General features: G+C 49.5%; 2 protein-coding genes and 1 long non-coding RNA gene across 4 annotated transcripts in view, besides 4 other annotated features; 2 read left to right on the top strand and 1 right to left on the bottom strand.

Annotated features, from left to right (window-relative positions):
• TCHP (trichoplein keratin filament binding) overlaps window positions 1–12,939 on the bottom strand; it is a 37,403-nt gene extending 24,464 nt beyond the window's left edge. The window contains exon 1 of the mRNA XM_011538837.2: window positions 12,878–12,939. The gene's annotated coding sequence lies outside the window, so the exon portion shown is untranslated. The remainder of the gene's footprint in view (window positions 1–12,877) is intronic.
• Window positions 1,729–1,788: a silencer, noted in NCBI's record as "silent region_4847". NCBI's record gives its function as "represses an Ori minimal core promoter by ATAC-STARR-seq in GM12878 lymphoblastoid cells {active_cell/tissue: GM12878}" and the evidence as "EXISTENCE:reporter gene assay evidence [ECO:0000049][PMID:35858748]".
• Window positions 5,044–5,193: a silencer, noted in NCBI's record as "silent region_4846". NCBI's record gives its function as "represses an Ori minimal core promoter by ATAC-STARR-seq in GM12878 lymphoblastoid cells {active_cell/tissue: GM12878}" and the evidence as "EXISTENCE:reporter gene assay evidence [ECO:0000049][PMID:35858748]".
• Window positions 11,982–12,483: an enhancer, noted in NCBI's record as "NANOG hESC enhancer chr12:110318928-110319429 (GRCh37/hg19 assembly coordinates)". NCBI's record gives its function as "activates a minimal SCP1, AML or CMV promoter by ChIP-STARR-seq in primed H9 embryonic stem cells {active_cell/tissue: H9 hESC(primed)}" and the evidence as "EXISTENCE:reporter gene assay evidence [ECO:0000049][PMID:30033119]".
• On the top strand, window positions 12,205–12,708 carry LOC124903012 (uncharacterized). 2 transcript variants are annotated; one of them, XR_007063455.1, is made up of 3 exons: window positions 12,205–12,245; window positions 12,432–12,491; window positions 12,599–12,708. It is a non-coding gene; the product is annotated as an uncharacterized LOC124903012 (long non-coding RNA). The 2 variants fall into 2 exon arrangements; XR_007063454.1 differs by having other exon boundaries at window positions 12,589–12,708.
• Window positions 12,808–13,357: a silencer, noted in NCBI's record as "silent region_4845". NCBI's record gives its function as "represses an Ori minimal core promoter by ATAC-STARR-seq in GM12878 lymphoblastoid cells {active_cell/tissue: GM12878}" and the evidence as "EXISTENCE:reporter gene assay evidence [ECO:0000049][PMID:35858748]".
• GLTP (glycolipid transfer protein) overlaps window positions 13,065–15,933 on the top strand; it is a 29,597-nt gene continuing 26,728 nt past the window's right edge. The window contains exon 1 of the mRNA NM_016433.4: window positions 13,065–13,334. Within this exon, the coding sequence (NP_057517.1) occupies window positions 13,232–13,334 (103 nt within the window). The 5' untranslated portion in view covers window positions 13,065–13,231. The remainder of the gene's footprint in view (window positions 13,335–15,933) is intronic.

The following is a 15,933-nucleotide window of genomic DNA, read 5'->3' as shown; positions in this document are numbered from 1 at the left end:
ATCTCAACATGTTTCCTGGGAGAAGGACACCTGGTCATGGGTCATGGGACACTTTGGCATTAGGCAAGCCACCAGCATAAAGAAGTATCCTGTGAAAGACACATGATAAACATCCAACTTCCTCCCCAGAGCTAGAGTTCTCTCTGGGGACTGGGCCCAAGAGCAATCCTTGGTGACAAGATGCCCTGCTGGATCTGATGCTCACAATTTTTTTTTTTTTTTTTTGAGAAGGAGTTTCACTCTTGTTGCCCAGGCTGGAGTGCAATGGTGCAGATCTCAGCTTAATGCAGCCTCTGCCTCCCAGGTGCAAGCGATTCTCCTGTCTCAGTCTCCTGAGTAGCTGGGATTACAGGCATGCACCACCACACCCAGTTAATTTTGTATTTTTAGTAGAGACCATGTTTCACCATGTTGGCAAGGCTGGTCTTGAACTCCTGACCTCAGGTGATCCACCCACCTCAGCCTTCCAAAGTGCTGGGATTACAGGCATGAGCCACTGCGCCCGGCCTGATGTTCACAATTTAAGACCACAGGTTCCAGCTTGCTGAAGCTCACCCCACCCAAAGCCCTTGCTTTATAGAGGAGGAAATGGGGGCTCAGAAATGGGGAGTGTGTGCCTAAATGAGGTAAGTGGCAGAGCCAGCGTGATAGTGAAAGCAGCTGGTAGACTCCGTGTGTAGAGGCAGAAACTGAAGCCACAAAGAGGAGGAGACTCAGCCAACACCTGCTTACCAGTTACTGAACCTTGATTGTCCTGTTCCTGGGTGACCACCTTCATCCTCACAGTGTCTCTAGGAGTATGAGTTAGAGTAACCCCACTGAGGCTTAGAGTAGTTGGGCAGAGCACTCTGATGGTCTTTACAGTGCATCAGGGTTCCCATCCCAAATCCCGCACCAATTCCCTTCTGCTGGGGTGTCAGGTATGGGGCACAGTCCACCAAAATGGGGCATCAGGTCAGTCCTGTGTTTTCTGTGACTTTCCTGCCCACAGGCACCCACTGGCCATTCCTGGATGACAGACAACCTCTACTTCCTAAGTCCCAAAGTTCAAGATGACTGGTAGACCACATCAGAGCAGTTCCATCATCTTCTCAGCCTTGAACCTTCCATGGCTCCCCATTTCCCTTGGCATGAAGCCCATACCACTGTGTCCAGCCTGGTCTGGTCCCCTGCTGACATCACTGGCCACACTGGTCATTTCTTTATCTCTCACCACCACCTTTCCTGCTATGCTGTTCCCTCTGTCTGGAAGACCCTTCCCCTCTGCTAACTCCTACTCAGACTTCAGGATCCCAGTGTAAATGTCCCTTCCTTGGAGAAGCCCTCCTGATTCCCTCTGACCAGGTCACTTGGTGTCAGGACATACTGTATTTTTCTTCCATAGCTTTCATTGAAGCATTAAATAAATGATTTTTTTTTGAGATGGTATCTTGCTCTGTTGTCCAGGCTGGAGTGCAATGGCACAATCTCAGGTCACTGCAACCTCCACCTCCTGGGTTCAAGCAATTCTCATGCCTCAGTCTCCTGGGTAGCTGGGACTACAGGCATGCGCCACCACGCCCAGCTAATTTTTGTATTTTCAGTAGAGACAAGGTTTCTACTGAAACCTTGAGTAGAAACTTTGAGACAAGGTTTCTACTTGCTGAGGCAGGTGGATCACCTGAGGTCAGGAGTTGGTAACCAGCTTGGCCAATATGGTGAAACCCCGTCTCTACTAAATATACAGAAATTAGCAGAGCGTGGTTGTGCATGCCTGTAATCCCAGCTACTCAGGAGGCTGAGGCAGGAGAATCATTTGAACCTGAGAGGCAGAGTTTTCAGTGAGCCTAGCCAAGATCTCGCCAGTGCACGCCAGCCTGGGCGACAAGAGCAAAACTTCGTCTCAAAAAAAAAAGCAAATATTGGGGCTGGGCACAGTGGCTTACACCTATAAACCCAGCACTTTGGGAAGCCAAGGCAGGTGGATCACTTGAGGTCAGAAATTCAAGACCATCCTGGCCAACATGGTGAAACCAGTCTCTACTAAAAAAAAAAAACCCAAAAAATTAGCCAGGTATGGTGTTGCGCACCTGTAATCCCAGCTACTTGGGAGGCTGAGGCAGGAGAATTGCTTGAACCTGGGAGGTGGAGGTTGCTGTGAGTGGGGAGATTGTACCACTGCACTACAGCCTGAGCGACAGAGTGAGTGAGACTCTGTCTCAAAAAAAAAAAAAAAGGAAATATTAAGAAAGCCCATTACTATATCTTCTCCTTTAGTTAGAACTGACCATAGCACATTTACTCACTCAACTACACAGCATTAGAAGTACCAATAAAAATAAGCGAAAGTTACAATTTTCCTATAGAGAAGGATGTTTAAACTGTGCTTACTATAAAATTAATTCAGTGAGGAACTTTGGTCTTTAGATTTTGCTTCAAAATTAAACCTAAGTGTTCCCATGGAATCAAAACTGTACAGGTAGTTTACCATAGAGGTACAAATTCCAATGTGATTTGTTTTGTTTTCCGTATTCAAAACATTTTCACCCAGGGAAGTTAATAAGAGAAGAAAGGAACAAATACCCTAGGGGTTCAAAACCATTACCCGGACTCGTTAGCTGCCAGGCAGAGGCTGTGTGCTAATGCCTGTCCTCATTTTTGAATGCTCAGATTCATACATGATTCATTGCCATTAACACCACCAGTCTGTGAGCTCCTTGAGAGAGCTCCATCTTTGACCCCACATTGCCTGGCAAAGCCTGGTCTGAGAGAAAAGTTCCAGTAGTGATTGCGGAACTGAATGGAATGAAAAAGGTCAGCTGAGCACGGTGGCTCGTGCCTGTAATCACAGCACGTTAGGAGGCCGAGACAGGTGGATCACCTGAGGTCAGGAGTTCAACACCAGCCTGGCCAACGTGGTGAAAGCCGGTCTCTACTAAAAATACAAAAATTAGCTGGGCGTCGTGGCATGCACCTGTAGTCCCAGCTACTCGGGAGGCTGAGGTGGGAGAATCGCTCGAACCTGGGAAGCAGAGGTTGCAGTGAGCCGAGGTCACGCCACTGCACTCCAGCCTGGGTGACAGAGTGAGATCCTGTCTCCAAAAAAAAAAAAAAATAGAAAAAAGAAAAAGGTTGGCTTGCTCTCTCTTTCTTTTTGGGACAGGGTCTTGCTCTCTCACCCAGGCTGCAGTGCAGTGGCACAATCATGGCTCACTGCAGCCTCTATCTCCTGGGCTTAAGCAATCCTCCAGCCTCAGCCTCCTGAGTAGCTGGGACCACAGGCACATGCGCCCCCATGCCCAGCTAACTTTTTTTTTTTTTTTTTTGTAGAGATGAGGTCTTTTGTGTTGCACAGGTTGGTTCATTTTCATGTTTCTTCAATTTAATGATAATGGTAGTGTGCTATGACACTGTCTTAGGATTGTGACACAGTCAGGCTTCCTTAGAACAGTTTATCCATGTGAGACTACAAAGGCCAGGCCCTCTCAGCCCCTGAGGCTGCCCCTGTAGATGGAGGACAAGGTGGCATTCTCCCTCTTCTCTGTGCTGTTAAAATGATCAAAATACTATTTTTATCCAGTAACTGAAAAAATGTCCAAAACTTGGCTGTATCCCACTTGGGTGTTTCCTGGGATGACAGCAAGTGGGCCTGTTGGCGGGTGCGCCTTCGCATTAATTAGGGAGAGGCGGCAGACGGGCCCCAAGAAGCAGCAAGGAGAATTGGCATGGTGGCTCTTAACACCCAGAGGAGTTGGCTCAACAAAGCCCATTTGGCACATTTAGTCCTGCTGAAAACCTGGCAGTTGGGGAGGTGACATCACTGGAATCAATTATCCCCACAATTGCCAGTCCTGGGTAGAAATAACTCCGTAAATCGATTCATAATAGCCACACCATTCATCGAGGGCTGCCTGCCTGCCAGCATGCAAACTGCTCTATCTACATTAACCCATTGAAATCTCACATCAGCCCTGACAGGGAGTTAGCATTGCTACTGTCCTAACTTTACAGATGAAACAACAGAGGGAAGATTTACACACACACAGGAGAAGCTCACATGAAGATGGAGGCAGAGGCTGGAGTGAGACAGGAATGCCTAGAGCCACCAGAGGCTGGAAGAGGCAAGAATAGATTTTCTTCCAGAGTCGTCTTTTTTTTTGAGATGGAGTCTCTCTCTGTCACCCAGGCTGGAGTGCAGTGCAGCAGGCTCACTGCAAGCTCTGCCTCCTGGGTTCATGCCATTCTCCTGCCTCAGCTTCCTGAGCAGCTGGGACTACAGGCGCCCGCCACCACGCCCGACTAATTTTTTGTATTTTTAGTAGAGACGGGGTTTCACCGTGTTAGCCAGGATGGTCTCGATCTCCTGACCTCGTGATCTGCCTGCCTCGGCCTCCCAAAGTGCTGGGATTACAGGCATGAGCCACCGCACCCAGCCCAGAGTCGTCTTTTACTTTTAATTTTGTAGAGATGAGGTCTTGCTATGTTGCCCAGGCTGGTTTCAAACTCCTGAGCTCAAGCAATCCTCCCTCCTCATCCTCCGAAAGTCCTGGGATTACAGGTGTGAGATACCATGCCCAGTCTTTTTTTTTTTTTTTTGGTGACAGGACCTTGCTATGTTGCCCAGGCTGGTCTCAAACTCCTCGACTCAAGGAGTCCTCCCACCTCAGCCTCCCAAGTAACTAAGATTACAGGCACGTACCACCGTGCCCAGCTCAGAGCCTTCGGAGAGAGTGTGTTCTAGCCAACACCTTGATTTTGCCCTAGTGATACTAATTTTGGACTTCTGGCTTTTAGAACTGTGAGAGAATACATTTTGATTGTTTTAAATCATCAAGCAGCCACAGGAAACTGACACAGGAAGTGACTTGCTCAAGGCCACACAGCTAGAAAGTAGAAGTGTTGAGTTTTAAACATAGTTAAGTATTCAATAAATGTTAGCTGTCATTATTATTATTACTATGCTGCAATAAAGAAGGTGCGTTTATTGGATAAAATGTCAGCAAGACCACGAACTCAGCCTACTTCACCCATCCCAACAGACACCGCTGGGGGAAAGACGGCCTGTGTAACAAGGATTTGATGATTCAGTTGGGGAAGATGTTATTAACACTGGGTGGAGCTGGTTTAGGAAAATGACGAAACTTTGCAGAGTGAACACCTCACCCACACTGAGTTGATTCCAAACATTACAACTCCATTGGTCAAGCTGGTCCTACAGATTAATTGCAGAGAGGGTTTGCAACTCATGGAGAAGTACAGTGACCCAACAATCCAAAAAGATGAGGTGGCTCCTCTGTGCCTGGTAGTATTTCCCTGACACTACGGGAAGCTAAGGGGAGAAACTGATGGCCCATAGCCAAAGCCAACTTGCTGAAGGTTTCTGTGGCTCTTCCCCTTTTCCTTCCCACCTCTCCCCCGCCCTGTTTTCTCTCTTCCTCGCCCTTCTATTCTTGAACAATTCAATCCAAAAGCCAATAGGTGGGTCCCAGCAAGGTAAATGTCAGTAATGGGGGGCACTGGGGAGGGTACATGCTGGTCCAAAGAGGGGTGTCAGGCTGGGTGCAGTGGCTCACACCTGTAATCCCAGTGCCTGGGGAGGCTGAGGCGGGAGGATTGCTTGAGGCCAAGAGTTCGAGGCCAGCCTAGGCAACATAGTGAGACCCTGTCTTAACAAAAAATTTAAAAATTATCCAGGCATGGTGATGCACGACTGTAGTCCCAGCGACTTGGGAGTCTGAGGCAGGAGGATCGTTGGAGCCCAAGAGGTAGAGGCTGCAGTGAGCTGTGATCATGCCACTGCACTCCAGTCTGGGCAACAGAGTGAGATTCCGTTTCTAAACAACAAAAACAACAAAGGTGGGTGTCAGATCCCAAATGGAATAAGAAAGGTGTCTGCATGGGGAGGGGGTGGCCAGAGCTCAGCAAGTGAGAAGGGCATCCTCATGGAAAGGCAGACTGGCAGGGGCTACAGAAGCGTGAGCATGGCATGAGGGGCATCCTTGCTGGGGAGGGAGTGGCAGCAATGATAGGAAGTTGTAACCTATGGGGGATTGATCAAATGAGGAAAAAACAAGGAGAACACCAGGTTTCTCACTGCAGGAGAAGGGAACTACAAACAAGAAAAGGGAGAAAAGTAGAATTAACCCCATAGAGACAAATTAGAATTGGATCTATCAGGGTGAAATACCATGGTTTTTTTTTTTGTTTTTTTTTTTTTGAGACAGAGCCTTGCTCTGGAGTGCAGTGGTGCGATCTCGGCTCACTGCAACCTCTGCCTCCTGTGTTCAAGCGATTCTCCTGCCTCAGCCTCCCGAGTAGCTGGGATTACAGGCTTGCACCACCACACCCAGCTAATTTTTGTATTTTTAGTAGAGACAGAGTTTCACCATGTTGGCCAGGATGGTCTTGATCTCTTGACCTGGTGATCCACCCACCTTGGCCTCCCAAAGTGCTGGGATTACAGTCTTGAGCTGCTGCACCCAGCCAAAACTATGGTTTTCAATACGGATAGAAGACTATAGGAACAAATATAGATAAACATAGACATGAATGTGTATGTGTGCATATAAAACTGAGTGAATCTAGGAGAAGGGACACCCCGATAACAATAAGCACATCTAGGCCGGGCGCAGTGGCTCACGCCTGTAATCCCAACACTTTGGGAGGCTGAGGCTGGTGGAGCACGAGGTCAGGAGTTCGAGACCAGCCTGACCAACATGGTGAAACCCCATCTCTACTAAAAATACAAAAATTAGCCGGGCGTGGCGGTGCACACCTATAATCCCAGCTACTCAGGAGGCTGAGGCAGGAAAATTGCTTGAACCCGGGAGGTGGAGGGTGCAGTGAGCCAAGATTATGCCATTGCACTCCAGCCTGGGCAACAAAGCAAGACTCTGTCTCAAAACAAAAAACAAAAAACAAACAAAAAAATCTCCCAAAAAACAAAAAGCACATCTAGATCTTGGTTTCGAAATGCCATTGCCCACCGAAAAGAACCAGGGCTTTTTGGAGAAATGGCTGGTTTGGAGACCAGGGCAGGGAAAGTACAAGATAAGCTTGGAATATCTTGTGCTAGAGAGTAAGGAAGGACTTAATGATGGGGACATGACAGAAACACACAGAAGCTAGCTTGGAGGGGCTTTCACTGGCCAAATCTTGGACAATTTGAGCCACTAAATAAATAATAATAGGCCGGGCATGGTGGCTTACGCCTGTAATCCCAGCACTTTGGGAGGCTGAGGTGGGTCGATCACCTGAGGTCAGGAGTTCGAGACCAGCCTGGCCAACATGGTGAAACCCTGTTTCTACTAAAAATACAAAAATTAGCTGGGCGTGGTGGCAGACGACTGTAATCCCAGCTACTCAAGAGGCTGAGGCAGAAGAATCGATTGAACCTGGGAGGTAGAGGTTTTAGTGAGCCGAGATCGCACCATTGCACTCCAGCCTGGGCGACAGAGCAAGACTCTGTCTAAAAATGAATGAATAAATAAATAGTAATGGATTGTAACCCATGGAATCACAAGTCCCCACTGATGTAAATAAATAAATGGAAGGTTTTATGAGTGATGAGATATTTACTTTACCTAGTGCCTCCCTGTGAAGTATTTGTTAATTTCAAAGAGGAAGAGAATAGCTTTACAGTGGAGAAGAGTGAAGACACCTTATTCAAATGATCAAAGTTAAGACCTGCAATAATAGGCACACACCTGTAGTCCCAGTTACTCAGGAGGCTGAGGTGGGAAGATTTCTTGAGCTCAGGAGTTCAAGGCCGCAGTGAGCTATGATTGCACCACTGCATTCCAGCCTGAGTAACAGAGCAAGACTGTGCCTCTTAAAAAAAAAAAAAGGCGGGGTGCGGTGTCTCACGCTTGTAATCACAGTACTTTGCGAGGCCGAGGAGGGCGGATCAGGAAGTCAGGAGATCAAGACCATCCTGGCTAACACGGTGAAACCCTGTCTCTACTAAAAATACAAAAAATTAGCTGGGCGTGATGGTGAGCGCCTGTAGTCCAGCTATACGGGAGGCTGAGGCAGGAGAATGGCGCGAACCTGGAAGGCGGAGCTTGCAGTGAGCCGAGATTGTGCCACTGCACTCCAGCCTGGGCGACAGAGCGAGACTCCGTCTCAAAAAAAAAAAAAAAAAAAAAACCATCAGATTTTCAATAATAGGACAAATAAAAATCACTGTGTCATCTGTTATGATACAATGAGAAGGATAGAGCATCACTTCTGTGATAGTTTGTGACACACAAAATCTATAGCTGCTTCTAGTATTAAGATGTACAACTTGAATCCAATCATGAAGAAACATCAGACAAAACCAAAATGAGGGATATTCTACAAAGTTACTGTCCTGGGGCTGGGCTCGGTGGCTTACGCCTGTAATCCCAGCACTCTGGGAGGCCGAGGCGGGAGGATCACCTCAGGTCAGGAGTTCGAGACCAGCCTGGCCAACATGGTGAAAACCCATCTCTACCAAAAATATAAAAAGTTAACAGGGTGTGGTGGCAGGTGCCTGTAATCCCAGCTACCCGGGAGGCTGAGGCAGGAGAATCGCTTGAATCCAGGAGGCGGAGGTTGCAGTGAGCCAAGATCGTAGCACTGCACTCCAGCCTAGGCGACAGAGTGAGACTCCGTCTCAAAAAACAAAAACAAAAACAAAGGACATTACTGGGACAAATGGCAAACCTTGAATAAGGTCTGAGGATTAGGTGGTAGCCGTACATCAGGGTGAATTTCCTGCATGGATGGATGTACTGTGATTCTGCAGGAGAGCGTCCTTGTTTGGAGGAAATACACATTCAGGTGTTTAGGGTGATTGGGCATTGTTTCAGCAACTTATGCTCAGATGGTTCAGGAAGGAAACCTTGTGACTGTAGTTGTAACTTTTGTGTGAGTTTGAGATTGTGTCAAAGAAAAAAAAGAAAAAATGCTTTGTGTGGCTGACATCTTGTTCTTAACAAATTCAAGTTAGTTGCCAACATTTAAAAATCAAGCAATTTTTACCTACGGATCTAGTTTTCTGGTTTCCCTTGAAGAACTGGAAAAGCTAGCAGCTCTGGGGGATGAGTAGTCAGGTGAAGAGCCTGATAGTTCCATTTATTTGTTTATTTATTTTTTAATTTTAAGAGATGGATTCGGCCGGGTGCAGTGGCTCATGCTTGAAATCCCAGCACTTTGAGAGGCTGAGGCAGGTGGATCATGAGGTCAGGAGATCCAGACCACCCTGGCTAACACGGTGAAATCCTGTCTCTACTAAAAATCAAACAAATTAGCCGGGTGTGGTGGCGGGCGCCTGTAGTCCCAGCTACTCGGGAGGCTGAGGCAGGAGAATGGCGTGAACCCGGAAGGCGGAGCTTGTAGTGAGCTGAGATTGCACCACTGCACTCCAGCCTGGGTGACAGAGTGAGACTCCTTCTCAAAAAAAAGAAAAAAAAAAGATTTTTTCTCATTTTGTTACCCAGGCTGGAGAGCAGTAGCACAATCACCTCACTGCAGCCTCCAACTCCTGGGATCAAGGGGTCCTCCCACTTCAGCCTTCCACATAGCTGGGACTACAAGCACTTGCCATGATGCATGACTAATAGTGCCCTTTTGATGGGCTATGTGGCCCCCAGTTCTCCAAAGTCTCCACCACTCCTCATTGTGTGACACTCAGCCCACAGCACCCATTTATGCTACTAGCCTGGCCCCTGTCACAAGCTATGGGAAAGCAAAAATCCACCCTAGGCCAGGCACTAATCATATTTTTTGGATTGATGAAGGGGTAGATGAATGGATGGATGAACTTTCAAGATGCTGCATTATCTCAGAGCAATGACCTATCTCAGTGCATCAAGCCTATGTTCTATGGCAAGGTGCTTCTTGAATCAGCCATAGTGTCTGAATGGTTTGTTTGGAATGGAAAGTGTTGAGAAATCAGGGTGTTGTCTGATGCCAGAGGTCCCCACATAGGGTGCAATCTCTGTGTGGAATTGATAGAGGCGTCTGACAGGTGGGTGGGGTTCTGGCACTAGGACAGGGTGCGGGGCGGGGCAGTGAGGCTTCAAGGAGATGGTATCATAGGATGCTCGAGGTAGTGAGGTTGGGTGGGGTGGGAACAAGCCTAGTTGATGGCTTGGGATCCTATCAGTAGGAGATCTGACTTGATGGAGCATGTCAGGGTCTGGGTATGAGCAAGAGTTGATGTTAGCTTTATCTTCCCCAGCCCCTCTCACTTCCTGATTCTACCTGGGTCATGGTTTGAAACAACCTCTTCTCTCACCTGCCCTCTGAAAGATTAAAACATTCAGGCTGGGCACAGTGGTTCACACCTATAATCCTAGCACTTTGGGAAGCCAAGGTGGGAGGATCGCTTGAGCCCACGGGTTTAAAAGCAGGCTGGGAAACATAGCAAGACACCATCTTTACCAAAAAAAAAAAAAAAATAGGGTAGCATGTTGGCATGTTCCTGTAGTCCCAGGTACTTGAGAGACTGAGGCGGGAGAATCCCTTGAGCCCAGAAGGTTGAGGCTGCAGGGAGCTGTGATCACACCACTCTAGCCTTGGCTACAGAGTGAGATCCTGTCTCTCAAAAAAAAAAAAAGAAAAAAAAAAGAAAACATTCTATAAGATTCAGCAGAAATGCACTAGTGATTTCTTATTGCCTTTAACATGAAATCCAAACTCTTGGCCAGGCGCGGTGGTTCACACCTGTAATCCCAGCACTTTGGGAGGCTGAGGCGGGCGGATCACAAGGTCAGGAGTTTGAGACCAGCCTGGCCAACATGGTGAAACCCCATCTCTACTAAAAATACAAAAAAATTAGCCAGGCGTGGTGGCAAATGCCTGTAATCCCAGCTACTTGGGAGGCTGAGGCAGAGAATTGCCTGAACCCGGGAGGCGGAGGTTGCAGTGAGCCGAGATTGCACCACCACTGTACTCCAGCCTGGGCGACAGAGTGAGACTCCATCTCAAAAAAAAAAAAAAAAAAAAAAAAATCCAAACTCTTCACCACTCCCTTCCTGCCCCAATATACTCCAGCCTCTGCCCACCTCCCTGACCTCAACTCCTATCACCCTACTCACTCTTGCCCTCACTTACCCATTCCCATTTCCTCCCCTGGCCCCCCGATTCCTTGCACCACACTAAGCTCTTTGTTACCTTAAGGCTTTTGCTCATGTGCCTCACACCCCAAGTCTTTTTTTTTTTTTTTTTTTAGACGGAGTCTCGCTCGCTCTGGCTGGAGTGCAATGGCACGGTCTTGGCTCACTGCAACCTCCACCTCCCTGGTTCAAGCAATTCTCCCTGCCTCAGCCTCCTGAGTAGCTGGGATTACAGGCTCCTGCCACCACACCCAGCTAACTTTTGTATTTGTTAGTAGAGATGGGGTTTCACCATGTTGGCCAGACTCACACCCCAAGTCTTTGACCTGGCTCTATCCTACTTCTCCTCTAGGTCTCAGCTCAAATATCACCTCTTCAGAGGTACTGCTCCCAAACCCCTACATCCGATCTCAGCCAACAGGCTTCAGTCATCCTCCGTCACTACACTGTTTTATTTTCTTCACATACTCATCAGTGTCTGAAGTTGTCTTACCAATTTGTGTATTGCATTGTGTTGTGTTCCCAACCAGATTGTCAGCTCCACAAGGGCAGGGATTTTGCTGTATCATTCACTTTATCCTCAGTGCCCAGTGCAGTGCATGACACATAGTGGTGGAGGGTGGGGGAGGGGTGGGAAGGATGGCAAATGTTTATTCTGGAATGAATAAGAGGCTCTCAACAATGGTGTGTTAGATTTTTGCATAAGCTGGGCATTGGGTTTAGGACATAAGCATCTAGGTGGGTTGTGGCTGAGATGACTTGTGATTCAAGGTGTGAGAAGCTGGACCCTGGGCTGTTGGAGAGACATTAGGTTTGGGAAACAAGTGTCCAGGTTGTGGGTGAATTGGTATAAACTGGGCTGGCTCCAGCTGTTACCAGTAGAAGGTGTCCAGGTACTTGGCATCTTGGAGAAAACACACAAACGAAGCAAGGAAAGCAAAAGCAAGGATTTACTGAGAACGAAAAGTCCACCCCACAGTTTGGGAGCAGGCTTGAGCGTAGAGGCTCAAGAGCTCTGCTTACAGAATTTTCTAGGGTCTCAATACTCTAGAGGTTTCCCATTGGTTACTTGGTGAATATTCTATGTAAATGAAGAGAATGAAGTGAAGTCACAGAGTCATTTACTCAGAATGTGCCCTATTGCAAATGGAGAGGATGTGCAAATGGAGAGGATGTTACTTGGTGGGAGAGGATGAATGTGAAGTTACAAAGTATAAATGGAGAGGATGTTTCTTGGAGTGTGTGGTCTGTGTAAATGGAGAGGATGAATGTGAAGTTACAAAGTGTAAAGGGCGTGAATGGAGAGGATGAAGTGAAGTTGCAAAGCCGTTTACATTCCTGTCATTGCTAAGGTGCTTTTTGATTTAGGTCTAGGAAGTCAGCCTTATGTTCCCTGCCTCCAGGCCCTATTTTTCTGCCTCACAACAGGTAACATCAGACTGTTGAGGGCAGACTGGACCCCAGATTTCGGGAAGCAGGAGTTGTCCAGCAGGGCAGTGGCTGAGTTAGACTGTGACTTCAGCAGTGTTCAACAGGTATAAGGTCATTGAAGACCAAGAATCAAGCAATCGAGCGTCCTCGTCGGTTGTAGCGAAAGAGAACCGTGACCAACAGGAGAGCAGTGTCCACCCAGGTCACTTGGGGTTACTGGGGTACAATTTTGGGGGAAACGGGGGTCCTGGGGAGCGTTGGCTGGGTGGGGCTGTAACCCGAGCTGGTGGGCGGGTTGTGAGCTGTGACCTGGCCCGAGTCGGCCCGCCCGGATTGGGGGGCCAAACCGGGGGCGGCGGGAGGCACACCTGGGGAAGACTCACCTGGGAGCGGCTCACTTGGGCCCTCCGGGACCCATGAACCGGCGCACCTCCTCTGCGTCCCGCCCCCGGCCGGCCCCCCGGCCAATGGGGGCGCGGAGACCTCGGCGGCGGGCGCGGATTGGGAGCCGGTGAGCGGGGGCGGGGCGGCGCGCCCGGCAGTTTAGGCGCTCGGCCGGCGGGCGGCGCTGAGCGCTCGGCTACGAGGGCGCCGTGCGGGCGGAAGTGGCGACGCTGGCGTCCCCGGAGCCTGCGGCGGGCGGCTGTGACGGCCCCGGCGCTGACGGCGGCGGCCGGGGGGGCGGTGTCGACGCCCGCGGCGCCGGCTGGGGCATCACCGCGGGCCTCGACCCCGAAATGGCGCTGCTGGCCGAACACTTGCTGAAGCCGCTGCCCGCGGACAAGCAGATCGAGACCGGGCCCTTCCTCGAGGCGGTGTCCCACCTGCCGCCCTTCTTCGGTGAGCCGGAATGGAGGGGGGAGGCGGCCCGCAGCCCCACGCGCACCCGAATCCTCCTTCCCCCGAGCATCCCCTAACCATCTCTGCCCTAGACACCCCTAAGTACTGTTTCCCCAGGCACCCAAGATCCTCTTTCCCTCCACTCACCCTAAATTCTCCCTTTCCCGGACCACTCCCAAGTCCTCTCCGCTCTAAACATGTCACATCCTGCCTGTCCTCCCCAAATCCTCCCTCTCCCTAGACACCTCACAGTCCTACATATCCCCCAAATGCCCCCTGATCATCCGTGCCCCCAACACGGATGATCTTCCATCTCCCTTAGGCATTCTGTAATCCACCATCTCCCCCAAAGCCTCCTGCCCCTTCTTCCCCAAAGTCCTTCATCCCTGGCGCTTTCTGATGGCTCTCAACTCGCTCCCCTTACAATGAATCCCCCCATTTCATAAGCCTTCTCTTTGAACGCTTCCAGCCTCTCCCTCATGGGACCTACAAACCCTTCCTTCTTCCCTCAGAATTCGCCCATTCCAGATCAAAGACTCCCATCTCCCCCTCCAAGGGTAGGAAGCCTGGTGAGGCGGGGACAAGGAGAGGGTTTTGAAGATGGAGTTGCAAAATTCCAGGGCCTCTTTCTAGGGGAAACCACCTAAAGTTTTTCCTCCTTTTAGGACAGGGGTGAGGGTTGTCGGGGGAGCTGTTTTGTGAGGTGACATCAGACATACAGAGCTTGGCACCAATTCCTCCCTCAGTTTGGGCTCTACGAGAGGAAGCCCCTCCCCTGTATGTCGTGTGGAAGTTCCTGGGCGCATTGGGAAGGCGGTCCACTTTCAGACCCTCTTCCCGCACTCCCTCAGCCTAGCCCAGTCCAGCCAAGGCCCCAGATGGAAAATGGGAACTAGAAGCCAGCACCACTGCCCCTGCCCTTTGCCTTTTGGGTCCCGGGTAAAGGGTGCAACCTGAGCCTCTATTCTCCTTCTCCATGTGGGCTCTGTCCTGTCCTGCTGGTTCACTTGGTGGCCTTGCAGGAAAATACCAGCCCCCAGGGCAGAGTCCACCTGAAACCCAAAGACAGGAGATCTTAAGACAGTCCGACTTAGTGGGCAAAGAAGGCTTGTTAGGGGTGGTAGTTCCCACAGTGTCCTGAGCTCTGGGATGGTTGTGGTTACCTGGAGGCTATAGTTCCCCTCCTTCACCTCGTGAGCCTCAGTGTCCCCAGCTGTGAAACGGGGATGCTGATCTCCTAGGGCAGCTGTGAGGAGTCGATGAGGTGGTGTGTGTAAAGTACCGAGGCCGTAAGTGCCAAATAGGTCTTCGCTGTAGGGGGTGTGGTTTTAAGTTCCTGAATCCAGTTTTGGTTCCTTGCTAGAGTGATTAATCGGTGTTTGAGGGAGTGCAATTGTCTGGTGTGTATGATTCCCAGACCTGGGTAAGCAACCTGAGAGCAAGGGCTTGGTTTTTTACATCCACTCTGTGTCCTCAGTGCCCAGAACAGTGCCTGGCACATAGCAGATGCTCAGTCAATACTGCTGAATGCACAAAACTTTCTTATTATCAGTGTCACAGTCTTGAGATAATACTGACTCTCCAGGTGGGGGCTTGGGAGCGAACCAGCTCTAGCATTGAAAAGTTGTTTAATTTTGTGATGTTGTTGGTTGTTGTTGTTTTTTTTTTGCTTGCTTGTTTCCTCTTTGGTTGCAGGAATAGTTCCAAGTCAGAGCCAGCTTGCCCTGGACAGGGATTCAGAATCCATTTAAGCCAGTGGTTCTCAACTGAGGGCAGTTTTGCCCCTTAGGGTACATCTGACAATGCCTGGAGGCATTTTTGTTGCAACTGAGTTGGGGGATGGGGCACGGGGTGTCTTGTGAGTAGAGGCCAGGGAGCTGCTCAGTATCCTACAGTGCACAGAACAGTCCTGCCACAACAAAGAATGATCCAGCCCCAAACATGAGCAGTGTCAAAGGTGGAGAAATCCCAGGTTAAACTCTGTGGCTTTTTCTTTCCTTATTTTCAGCGAGGTTGCACATCCGTTCTGTATTTGGGGGTATCATCATTTGATGCAATTATCTGGCTGGTTTTGGAGGAAAGAGGGAGGTGGCAAGCCAGAGCCAGCAGTCATCTGGTGCCAGGGCTAAAGAGCATCTCCTCCTCCCTTTCCTTGGTCTCAAAGGACCCTTGTCTTTGTTGCAATCCCTGTGCTGTGGGGTGTCACATCTGTTGACAGAAGTACCATTTATACAGAAGCCGCAGTGGGGTTGGTCCACAATGGGTTAACCACCACAGGGCCCTCTGCCCACCAGAGCTGTTTACTGTTCACCAAAGAGGCTGATTCTTAGGACTCTAAAGAAAAAAAAAGTGATAGTTCGTTTGAACCATTATTCTCTTCTGTGGGGGGAGGAGAATTGCTCCTGAAGGTTGAAGACTTAAGCTTTAGGAGGATTCTTCCACGAGTGACTTTTCTCTGGGACGTCTGATCAAGATCATTTGTCGGCTGTGATGCAGGGGCTTTTTCTAGATCTTGGGAGCGTCTGGTCACCGGGATGATCTGGGTGGTGTGTGTGTCTCTTGAATGGAGCTGCTCTGGGGTGAGGGACACCAGGAGTGT

This window comes from Homo sapiens, chromosome 12 (assembly GCF_000001405.40).
Source record: "Homo sapiens chromosome 12, GRCh38.p14 Primary Assembly".
In the NCBI taxonomy this organism is placed as follows: domain Eukaryota; kingdom Metazoa; phylum Chordata; class Mammalia; order Primates; family Hominidae; genus Homo; species Homo sapiens.
This window is presented reverse-complemented; position numbering and strand designations above follow the sequence as displayed.